Raw genomic sequence first — 12,423 nt, 5'->3', positions numbered from 1 at the left:
TCTCCATGCCCCCTGCCCTCCTCGTGTCCTCAGAGGCCCACCGCAGCCCGCCCGGCTTCCTCCGCACCATCTGCTCAGTCAGGGCCTCGATTTTCTTTTGTCTCCTGCACAGCGCAGGCTGGCGCCTGGGGAAAGCCTGTAACGGACCGGCGGGACACTCCCCGCAGTGGAAGCCCATCCACGCTCTCCTGGGGTTCCACCTTGCTCCCAGCTTCCCTTAGGAAGCTCTCCCTAGGGCCCTCATATCTGGAGTGCCAATCTGACCCCAAGAACAGCTTGTGAGGGATGATCTCATGGTGGCTGAGAGGGACTGCTATGGGACCTTGGGGATTTTTCTCCAACTGTCATAAAGGACATGCACATAAGCCCATTCTCTGCCCGCGCTAAGAGCCACGGTTTCTCTCCCCCCTTCAAGCTATTTCTCCAGAAATCACAAGCTAAGAGCGCTCCTGGAGCCCTGGAGTGGGGTGGGAGTGTATAGGGCGAGGACGGGCATGGTTTCCCTGAGATGAAGGCGACACCTAGTGGTTTGGTGGGGGAAATTAAGGACAATGCCACTTTATCCTTAGGCACGATATTTATTGAACACCGGCTGCCTAGCACAAGCTGTACCTGTGAATACAAAGAAAGCCGAATGATACAGCCCTTACCTTTGAGGAACATGCATTTGCAATCCCTGGGGCACAGAGGCCAAGAGCAGGCCGTCCCTAACAATGTTCTTGCCTCAAGCCCAGTAGAGATGGAAGCCTCAGGACAGCTCCTTCTTTAACGCAGAGGGGTTGGTAACTCTAGTTCCAGGCTCCCAATACTGCAGTGAAAAGGAATTTTGTCCTATCTGGCCAAGGCAAAAAAAAAAAAAAGGAACAGTCAAAAGAATGACGAGACAACATGAGAAATACTTTAGACCAAGTCAACCAAATAGAATAGTTGATTTTTAAGCAACTACACATTGTTTTATGAGACAAGCAAATCCAAAATGACAAAATTCCTGAAAGAATTACAGAATGGCAGGGCTAAGAGGATCATATAAATATATTGTTTAGCCCTCTCATTTAAAGATAATTGAAAACCAAATCCCAGAGAGGAAGGTCGCAGTGTCCTTACTTGCTCCTCTCCCCCAATCCCACATGGCTTTTTAGTTGCAAAAGAGAGATTAAAATGCAGGTTTCATGGTCTCCAAGGAGAGGCTCTTTATAGATATTTTGCTGACTCATGGAACTTACTGTAGAAAGCTGTGCTTACAATATAATAGCCACCAAACCCAGGCAAGTCTCTCTGGAACACCTGCAGCCCTCAGTGAGGATCAGCCACCACTGTCACCCAGACTCCTACGCAAGTACAAGTGCATCATATGTCATTATTCTGAACATTAAGGACTATTCTTCATTATGTTAGGGATTAAACATTCAAGCATCTTGCCTTTCCCTTTTCCTCCCAGTTGGCCAGTTAACTAGAAAGTAGGAAGGGGCCAGGCACGGTGGCTCTTGCCTGTAATGCCTATAATCTCTATTAAAAACCAAACAAATCAATCAGATATGGTGGCACGAACCTGTGGTCCCAGCTACTTGGGAGGCTGAGGTGGGGGGATCGCTTGATCCCAGAGGATAGAGGCAGCCTGGGTGACAGCAAGACCCTGTCTCAAAAAAAAAAAAAAAAAAAAAGGAAGTGGAAGGAGCCTGGTGCAGTGGCTCACGCCTGTAATCCCAGCACTTTAGGAGGCCAAGGTAGGAGGATTGTTTGAGGTCAGGAGTTCGAGACTAGGCTGGCCAACAAGGTGAAATCTCGTCTCTACTAAAAACACAAAAATTAGCTGGGCGTGGTGGTGGGCACCTGTAATCCCAGCTACTTGGGAGGCTGGGGCAGGAAAACCGCTTGAATCTGGGAGGCGGACATTGCAGTGAGCAGAGATCGCGCCACTGTGCGACAGAGCAAGACTCCATCTCAAAAGAAAAAAGAAAGAAAGAAAGGAAAAGAAAACATAAGTAAAAACTAAAAATAAAATTTAAAAGACAAAAGGGAAGTGGGAAGGAGTGGGGAGATAAAAGATAAATCCCCTAATGAGGTTTTTTATTAACACACAGTGAAAGGCTTTTGGTGTTTATTTTTTCATGTTTGAGGGAAAGCTGAAAATATTAAATAAATGAGAACTTCGGTTATGTATATATCCCACTATCCAAGCTATCACTGCTGTCATTGATATGGGCAATAATATTTTGGCTGTATTTGGTGACCATGCTGCAATACATAGAAAACCTAGGAAATCTAGATTCTACTGGCCTAAGCAGCAACCAGCTAGGGTCCAACTTTCTCTTTGTAGCACTGTCATGGCCTTCTTCTAATCCACAAACAGATACCAGCTATAATTTCTTCTGGATAGGGTCAATCAACACCCTCTTTCTTTTTCTTTTTTTTTTTTTCTTTTTTTGAGACAGAGTCTCACTCTGTTACTCAGGCTGGAATGTAGTGGCGCAATCTCGGCTCACTGCAACCTCCATCTCCCAGGTTCAAGTGATTCTCCTGCCTCAGCCTTCCAAGTAGCTGGGATTACAGGCGCCCGCCACCATGCCCAGCTAATTTTTGTTTTTAGTAGAGACAGCGTTTCACCATGTTGGCCAGCTGGTCTCGAACTCCTGACCTCAAGTGATCCACTCGCCTCAGATTCCCAAAGTGCTGGGATTACAGGCGTAAGCCACCACGCCCGGCCCCAAACACCTTATTTCTGATCCAGAACTAAACTGCAGAGCATCAAATTGGCCAGCTGCTAGAATCTCCTATGGTTTCCAAGCTGCCCTGTCCCTTCTTCAAAAGAAATCCTAATCCTGGTTACACTCAGGCCAAAGGTGCCTCAAGACCCTAGTTGAGCTCTGCAACCACCATGGGATTCGGGCTCATGCTAATTTTCGTGATAGGCTCTGATGCCCCAAACTGACAGCATTAAACGTTTTATAACAAACCTATTTGTGCAGCTGAATCTGGATCCTCAGGTTTGTTCTACACCAGATCATGCCTCCCAGGCCTACAGAATTCCAGAAAACAAAATATCTTCTCTGCTGACCTGACTAGCAGAAATGGGCTTTGACTCCATGCAATTGTCCCCTGCACACAGACGGACAGGTCCAAGAGAACCTGCCAACAGAGGGCAGAGAACAGCCATAGAAAGGTAGATCAAATAAGGCAGGAAAGATACACTTCACAACACATCTCAATAGAAAAGGAGAAAGTAATGTAGAAAAAGAAATGTAGCAAAGTATATAGAAAGCAAATAGAGACTTTACTCAAATTCTGCATTCTTTATTTTAGCCCCATAAGGGAGAGACAGAATCCTGAAATTAGGTCAAACCTCCAGTTCCCCTCCAACTCCTACTTCCCTCCCAGCCACGCAGCAGTGCACAGTATGGTTGTAGATCTAAGATCCAGTTCATCTTCTCACAGATATTCAACAGCCTCAAAGGGCTGCTGTGGGCCAGGCATGGTGACTCATGCCTGTAATCCCAGCACTTTGGGAGGCCAAGGCAGGCAGATCTCCTGAGGTAAGGAGTTCAAGATCAGCCTGGCCAACATGGCAAAACCCCATCTCTACTAAAAATACAAAAATTACCTGGGCGTGGTGGCAGGCACCTGTAATCCCAGCTACTCAGGAGGCTGAGGTAGGAGAATCGCTTGAATCTGGGAGGTGGAGGTTGCAGTGAGCCGAGACTGCACCTCTGCACTCCAGCCTGGGGGAAAGAGTGAGTCTCCATCTCAAAAAAAAAGGGGGCAGCGGTGGGCGCTGCTGTGATTGTTTAAAGGGTCAAGGGTTTTTACTTTGAATTCATATACATCTTTGTAAGTTCAAAATATTTTCTTTTTTATTTTTTTTAATTTATTATTTAAAAAAAAAAATTTTTTTTTTTGACAGAGTCTTACACTGTCGCCCAGGCTACAGTGCAGTGGCTCATTCTCGGCTCACTGCAAGCTCCGCCTCCCGGGTTAATACCATTCTCTTGCCTCAGCCTCCCGAGTAGCTGGAACTACAGGCGCCCGCCACCACGCCCGGCTAATTTTTTTTTTTGTATTTTTAGTAGAGACGGGGTTTCACCATGTTTGCCAGGATGGTCTTGATCTCCTGACCTCGTGATCTGCCCACCTCGGCCTCCCAAAGTGCTGGGATTACAGGCGTGAGCCACCACGCCCAGCCCAAAATGTTTTCAAATCAGATCTCAGTTTCCAACTTACCTGAATAGATATATGTTTTTTAGACAAACAGGTATCATATTCTAAGGGCCAGAAATATCAGCTTTGTGAAAATACAGTCCAAACAAGTCATTTTCCCATGGAAATTGTTTCATAGATGGCCAAAGATTCCTAAGAGAGAAATTTAAGAATTGTCAGGAGAAGCAACCACATACATTTATTTCCTTGATGATTCAAGCTCCACGTGAACCATATTTCACCTGTCTGCTCCATCTGGGCCTGGACCAGCACCTCTGTGAGTGCCCAGGAAGGCCCCAGTTCTTCTCTGCCCTCTCACACTTGGCCCAAGAATCTTCCTAGGTACATAGATAGTTTCCCTATTTTCCTATTACCACCCTTCATCATTATTACCAACCCCAGTAGTTATTTACCACCCTTTGGGAGCATCCGATAGCATGAAGTCTCAAATATAATATTCCCTGAAATAATCTTACCCACTCAACTTGAAATTCCACTTCTTCACAAAATCTTTCACTGAGGAAAAAGTGGCAAGAGGCAAGTGGCAAGAGGGAAAGGTGTCCCCTTGCCTTTTAAGTCCTGCTAACTCTACAAATATCTGGCATAAAAAGAGGCAAAGGAAACATGGTTATCACTGCTTCTAGAGACTGGAAATGCACTAGTCACTATTTTAATCTTCTGCTCTGCTTAGAATTTTCTACAGAAGCCAAAGACTGGGAAGAAGAGGAGAAATCTGAAACAAAAATGTACAAAACTGTACTGCAATATGTCATGAAGAACCAAGAGAAGCTAAGCAGTGGCGATGTAAGATTGGTGGGCAGACAGACTGAAAGCAAGAAGAACCGTGAAGAGGTTCCTGGAGAAACCCAAGCCTGAAGTGTCTAATCTAGGATGATGGGATAGTAATGGAGAGAGGAACAAATCTGAGGTAATCTGAGGGAAGAAACAACAGAATTTGGTGGCCGACTGGATATACAAGACGAAAAACAGTCAAAGGCAGGGGTTGCAAAGGCAAAGGTGGTCATGGGCCAGGCAGGAAATATGAATGGGAGAAGCAGCTAGGTGGAGACTGGCAAGCCGTGAACCCCGGCGCCATCTAAAGTGGATGCTGACCCTGGGATGGAGCCCAGAGTAGCCAGTTCTTGCTCTGCCTTCTCTCTGGGTCTCTCCAGTCTCACTTCCCTCCAGTCCAGCCTCCACGATGTGTTCAGGTGTCAAAGCGACCTTTTGAAACAAAAACCTAATTATGTCACATCACTGCTTAAAATCTTTAAATGGTCCCCCTTGGAGGCTATGTTTTTCACACTGTTATTTTTAGCAGCAAAACCATTCCTTCAAATGAAAATGTACATGTAAAACAGAAAAAAAAAAAAAAAAAAGCCCAGCTGCTCCAGATGAAACAGTGGGGGTGGGCCCAGAAACCCCTCGCCTTCACCTCATTCTCAAACAGAACCCCTGAGGCACCTTCAGGGAACCTCTGCGCAGCAGCCTTCAAACAGTAGTAGCACAAAAAGGCTTTCCAAGGACTATGTTTGTCCAGATGGCTTTAAGGGAATCCATCTCCAGACCCTGAACTTCCTTATGTACTCAGTCCCAAAACTGTTCTGCCTGAGAATGACCTGTGCTCACAACAGTTGTGCTGACAACAACCCTCCCAGTTTACAACAGAAAGGCATGTCCCTACCCCAAGCCAAATTTTATTATGATGAATTATTTTAGGGTGTAAAAACCTTTGGAGCACCAAGAAAAAGGATATATAAATCAAGTATTGGTCTGGGGAAACTTGTGAAGGTGAATCAAAGTGTCTTAAAGGAATGGGGCTTCCTGTCTTTCCCCACCATATCCATATTCTGTGAAGAGTAAAGCTTGGCATTAGAAATGGGGTGTTTTCAGCTGAGAGGGGTGGTGTGTGCCTGTAGTTTCAGCTACTCGGAAGACTAAGGCAGGAGGATCTGATGAGACTGGGAGTTCAAATTCAGCCTGGGCAACATAGTGAGACCCTGTCTTCTATTTTAAAAATATATAGAGATAGGGCAGGGCACGGTGGCTCACACCTGTAATCCCAGCACTTTGGGAGGCCGAGGCGGGTGGATCACGAGATCAGGAGTTCAAGACCAGCTTGGCCAAGAGACCAGCCTGGCCAATATGGTGAAACCCCATCTCTACTAAAAATACAAAAATTACCCAGGTGTGGTGTCAGGCGCCTGTAATCCCAGCTACTTGAGAGGCTGAGGGAGGAGGAGAATCACTTGAACCCAAGAGGCGGAGGTTGCAGTGAGCCGAAATAGTGCCATTGCACTCCAGCCTGGGCGACAAGAGCAAAACTCTGTCTCTAAATAAATAAATAAACACCCCTATCTCTCATCACTTACGAAAGTCAACTCAAAATGGATTAAAGACTTAAATGTAAGGACTGAAAACCATGAAAGCATTAGAAAAAAATTCAGGAAAAACCCTTCATGACATTGGACTGGGCACAGGCAACCAAAGCAAAAATAGACAAACAGGATTGCATCAAATTAAAAAGCTTCTTCACAGCAAAGGAGACAGTCAACAAAATGAAGAGGCAAGTTACAGAATGGAAGACAATATTTGCAAACTATGCATCTAAGGGGTTAATACCTAGACTATATAAGGAACTCAACAATTCAATAGCAAAAAAAAATCCCAAATAATATGATTTTTAAATGGGCAAAATAGACATTTCTCAAAAGAAGACATACAAATGGCCAACAGGTATATGAAAAAATGCTCAATATCACTAATCATCAGGGAAATGCAAATCAAAACCTCAATGAGATATCATCTCATCCCAGTTGGAATGGCTATTATCAAAAAGACAAAAATTAACAAACGCTCATGAGGATGCGGAGAAAGGAGAACTTTTATACTAGTGGGAACATAAATTAGTATCGCCATAATGAAAAACAGTATAGAGGTTTCTCAAAAAATTAAAAATAGAACTACCATATTATCCAGTAATCCCACTAGTGGGTATTTATGCAAAGGAAATGAAATCAGTATGTTGAAGAAATGTCTGCACTTCCATGTTTATTGCAGCTCTATTCACAGTAGCCAAGATATGGAATCAACCCAAGTGTCCATCAACAGATGAATGATAAAGATAATGTGGTATATTTACACAGTGGAATACTATTCAGCCATAAAAAAGAATGAATTCCTGTCATTTGCAGCAGCATAGATGAGCCTGGAGGACATTATACCACAGGATCTCACTCATATGTGGAATCTAAAAAAAAAAACAAAAACTGATCTCTTAGAAGTACAGAGTAGAATAATTGTTACCAGAGGTTGGGAAGCATAGGCAGGAGGGGTAGATGGGGTGAGGTGGGCCAACAAAGTTACAGATAGACAGGAGGAGTAAGTTCCAGTGTTCCCTTGCACAGTAGGGTGACTTTGGTTAACAATATTATTGTATTTTTCAAAATAGCTAGAAGAGAGGATTTTGAATGTTCTTACCACAAAGAAATGATAAATTTTTGAGATACTAATTGTCTTAATTTGATAATTACACACTATACATGTATCCATCACATTGTATTTCATAAGTATGTATAATTATTGTCAATTAAAAATAAAATAAAAAGAGAAAATTAAACTGAAAAGTTTTACAAGCAGAAAAATACTTCAGCTACGTTGAATAAATGAATAAATGAATAAAAAAATTAAGGGCCAGGCGCAGTGGCTCACGCCTGTAATCCCAGCACTTTGGGAGGCCGAGGTGGGTGGATTACCTGAGGTTGGGAGTTAGAGACCAGCCCGACCAACATGGAGAAATCTCGTCTCTACTAATAATACAAAAATTAGCCAGGAATGGTGGCACATGCCTGTAATCCCAGCTACTTGGGAGGCTGAGACACGAGAATCGCTTGAACCGGGGAGGGGGAGGTTGCAGTGAGCCGAGATCACACCATTGCACTCCAGCCTGGGCAACAAGAGCAAAACTCAGTCTCAAAAAAAAAAAAAAATTAAGTAACTTATTTCATAGTTGGTGTACTTTATTCAATAAAATAGTTAAAAGTCTGTTTTATCTGGCCTGGCGTGGTGGCTCACACCTGTAATTCCAGCACTTTGGGAGGCCAAGGAGGGTGGATCACCTGAGGTCAGGAGTTTGAGACCAGCCTGACCAACATGGAGAAACCCCGTCTCTACTAAAAATGCAAAAATTAGCCAGGCGCGATGGCACGCGCCTGTGATCCCAGCTACTTGGGAGACTGAGCAGGAGAATCATTTGATTCCAGGAGGCGGAGATTGCAGTGAGCCGAGGTCGTGCCACTGCACTCCAGCCTGGGCAACAGAGCGAGACTCCGTCTCAAAAAACAAAAACAAAAACAAAAAACCTTGTAATAATAAAGTTAGATTTCAATTTAAAATTGTGTGAGTGTTTTATTTTAAGGAGCTCATGAACAAAAATATTTGAGCTCTGCAGCTCAAAATAACACTTTGAAAATCAGTGACTAAACAATGACTCTTGATGCTACCAAACCTAAATCTTCCTTCTAATAATTATTTTCTAACGGCACCTTTACTAACTTAAAATAAAATGCATAGATAATACAACCTATCTCTACACATAATTTCAAAACATCAATAAAATTTCCTACCTGTAATATAGAAGAGAAATAATAGCCGGGCATAGTGGCAGGCGCCTGTAATCTCAGCTACTCTGGAGGCTGAGGCACAAGAATCCCTGGAACCCGGGAGGGGGAGGTTGCAGTGAGCCGAGATCACACCACTGCACTCCAGCCTGGGCAACAGAGTGAGACTCTATCTCAAAAAAAAAAAAAAAAAAAAACGAGAGAAATAAAAGACAATAACTTATTTTAAAAACAGGTATTTCAATATGTAAATGGTTGGATATAACTGTGATAGAACACCAAAGGAGGCACTCAGCTAATTGTAATTAGATGCTTCCATCTAATTACAGGGAATGAATAAATTTTGATTTAAGAGATCTGAAGCCACTCCATAAAGAAAGATACTGGATTAAACACCAGTGTTAGGATAAGCAATAACAGAACAGATGTATTTATATATATATTTATATATAACACCCTACACAACTGTTTGGTGGAATATTTGAAGACTGTGCAGAACTCAGGATATCTAAATCATGCCGAATTCAGGACATTTATTTGACACCTAAAAGGTATTGCCAGTGTCAAGGTACAAGGATTAACAACCAAAACAAGGTGAAATTCCTTCTCTCATGGAATACATTCTTAATTATGTGGAACTGTCCTCACATTGCAGAGTCTAACATCTGCGGCCTCCAACTACTACAATGCCAGTAGCACCCACTCTCATCACTATAGCAACCAAGAAAATGCCCCTTCCCCTCCACCCCCTCCTGCCTGCCCCCCCACCCCCTCCCCCCACCCCCACTATCTCCTGCGCACCCACCACGGACCAAAATGCCCCTCCAGGAAAAGTACTACTGCTGTTCAGAGCCACTAGCCTGCAGGATGGAGAACAAGAATCTCAGTCCACCAGGTGGTCCTGGCTCCATCTTCCTCTCCAGCCTCCTCTGCAGCCACATATGCCTTCTAAACATATAGAGCTATCTATAGTCCTCTAAGTGGGTCATGTTATTCTATGCCCATGGGTTTTCTGTCAGCCTGAAATGTTTTCTCTTCCCTTGAGTTCTAATTAGTCTTTTTTGAGGCTTACTCAGGCCACTTTTCAATTTAATTTAATACATTTGTTTTAAAGTAGGTACTTTCTGCCCCATTAGATTGTGTATTCCATGAGAAGGAATTTTATCGTCCTTAATCTTTGTACCTTACATTGGCAGTATATTTTAGAATTCAAATAAATGTTTTCTCAATGGATATATGAGTATGGATGAAGGGATTCACTTTATTTTTATTTATTTGGTCATATTTTGAGACAGAGTCTCACTCTGTTACCCAGGCTGGAGTGCAGTGGCGCCATCTTGGCTCACTGCAACCTCCATCCCCCGAGACTCAATCAATCCTCCCACTTCAGCCTCCCAAATAGCTGGGACCACAGATGCACACCACCACGCCTGGTTGTTTTTTGTTTGTTTGTTTGTTTGTTTTGTATTTTTGGTAGAGATGGAGTTTCACCATGTTGCCCAGGCTGATCTCAAACTGCTGAGCTCAAGTGATCCACCCTCCTCATCCTCCCAAAGTGCTGGGATCACAGGTGTGAGCCACCGTGCCCAGCCAGGGATTCACTTTAAAAGAAAAAGAAATTCCTCTGAGACTGCAGGGAAAGGTGGAACAATGGATTCAGGGATAGATTTCGTGACGGATAAATTTAACTTATCTGTTGAGCATTGAGCTTGGTCAGGTATAAACATAACCTGCCACCCATCAGTCTTCATCTGTGCCATGACAAATGTCTCCTTTGTACCTCTTCACAACATCATGGTCAGAGTCCATAACACTCTGCTCCCTTTTGGTTATTTAAAGACTCAGTCCGATATGGCTTAAAACTCCAGTCTCAGGTCCAATGCAGAACTCATCTTAAGCCATGGCTTAAGGAACCTGCGGTGGAGAGAAGAATATGATCCCTTCTATTGATTCTGCTTCTCCTCTTCTAGTTCTCTGGAAGGTTCTCTAGAAGGGTTTTAGCTCCTTGGTGGTTGAGAACTAGGAGGAGGGCAGGGAGGAAAAGAACAACTCTCTTTTTATTTAACAAGGTAGTTATCACAAACCACTGTTTGCTGACAGACCATGCCAACCTGTTGTTTGGCAGATGTCAAAATGCTATCTTTCTTGCACATGGTGGCTCATGCCTGTAAGCCCAAGGCATTGGAAGGCTGAGGCAGGAGGATCACTTGAGCCCAGGAGTTTGAGACCAGCCTGGGCAACGTAGAGAGACCCTGTCTCTAAGAAAATTTTTTTTTAATTAGCCGAGTGTGGTGGCACATAACCTGCAGTCCCAGATACTCAGAAGGCTGAGGCAGGAGGATCACTTGTGCCCAAGAGATTCAGGCTGCAATAAGCCATGATCACAACACTATACCCCAGCCTAGGCAACAGACCCCATCTTAAAAAAAAAGATGCTGGCTCTCTTATGAGACAGTTATGTGAGTTCTTTAGAAGGTCCTACTGGGCTTCTCCACTGAGTTGTGCCCTAATGCAGAGAATCCTGATCCAAGCCATCTCTTTAACCCTCCTAACTTCTGTTCAGTGGCAGCCTTTTGGATGGGTTACCAGCATGATGGCTCAAGCCCGGCGATCTTCCTCAGTGTCCCTTTGATCACAGAAACTCACATACCCTTGCTAAGCCAAACAGAATGAATGCAGACTATTCCACTACTATCCCCTTACTCTGCCCTTCCTCCTTTCTCTAATTGCCTTTCCTCTTCTCAGACAGGTGCGGAGCTGAACAAATCCACTGTCTAAACAGATAGTTTAACCAAGGAATGAGAAATCAATCTCTCTTTCATGTAGATCTCTTTCATACTCCCTTGCTTACTTTAAGGGGGGAAAGGAGGGAAAAGTACTCCCTGCTAGGCTCATGACAGCCTCCCTTCAGTCATCTTTTATCTTATATAGCCTGGGAATGGAGGTGGGGTGGTAAGGTATGGGTTGGCTGGAAGTTGCAGGGCCACTTCTGCTACCTCTTTGTAAGCCCTGGAGAGGAGCTCTGATCCAATTATTAGCAACTCTCTCTAGAACGTGCAGTATTTAGTCCTCTTTGTCCCAGCTTTGGACCCTAGTCACCAATTCCAGGGCAATAGAAAAAAACCTTACTCAACATCCTCTATAATATATTGAAATGAAGGGAAGGTTATATGAAATAAGGAGCTCAACTGCATTCCTCAATGGGGAAGCAAAGTCATCTTTTGAGTGACAGAAGGAACCAGGAGTTTGAAAGTTCAGGCAGAATAAAGAAGACAGAGATAGACTGGAGATAGAACATCAGATGAAAGCCATGTATACTCTCTTTTCCCCATTAAAATATAAAAAGCACATATACATATTATTCCACAACATTTTACATATCATTTCAGGTGCACGTGGATCTAGGAGCTAAAGGATCCCAGATTAACAAGCCTTGGGCTTAAGAGAAAGCAAACAGGAAGGCGAATGTGCATTATTTGTGCATTCGAGAGGAGGGAGTGGGTATGTAGGCAGGCAAAGCCAATGCACAAAAGGAAGGCTGGACATTTAGGGACTTGCATCCACCCAGAAGCCATCCATGTCAGACACCAGTTTGACATGTCATATTATATTC

At 43.8% G+C, this 12,423-nt stretch overlaps 1 protein-coding gene across 2 annotated transcripts in view; it reads right to left on the bottom strand.

The window, feature by feature from the left end:
* RGP1 (RGP1 partner of RAB6A GEF complex) overlaps positions 563–12,423 on the bottom strand; it is a 41,142-nt gene continuing 29,281 nt past the window's right edge. The window contains exons 11-12 of one of the 2 annotated variants that reach the window (XR_007061382.1): positions 4,216–4,344; positions 563–1,633 (exon numbers count right to left, since the gene is read on the bottom strand). The gene's annotated coding sequence lies outside the window, so the exon portion shown is untranslated. The remainder of the gene's footprint in view (positions 1,634–4,215; positions 4,345–12,423) is intronic. The other variant, XR_007061383.1, reaches the window with a different exon arrangement.

The sequence above is a fragment of the Homo sapiens genome, chromosome 9, assembly GCF_000001405.40.
Source record: "Homo sapiens chromosome 9, GRCh38.p14 Primary Assembly".
NCBI lineage: Eukaryota > Metazoa > Chordata > Mammalia > Primates > Hominidae > Homo > Homo sapiens.
The sequence above is the reverse complement of the archived record's forward strand: the minus strand, read 5'-3'. Positions and strand labels throughout refer to the sequence as shown.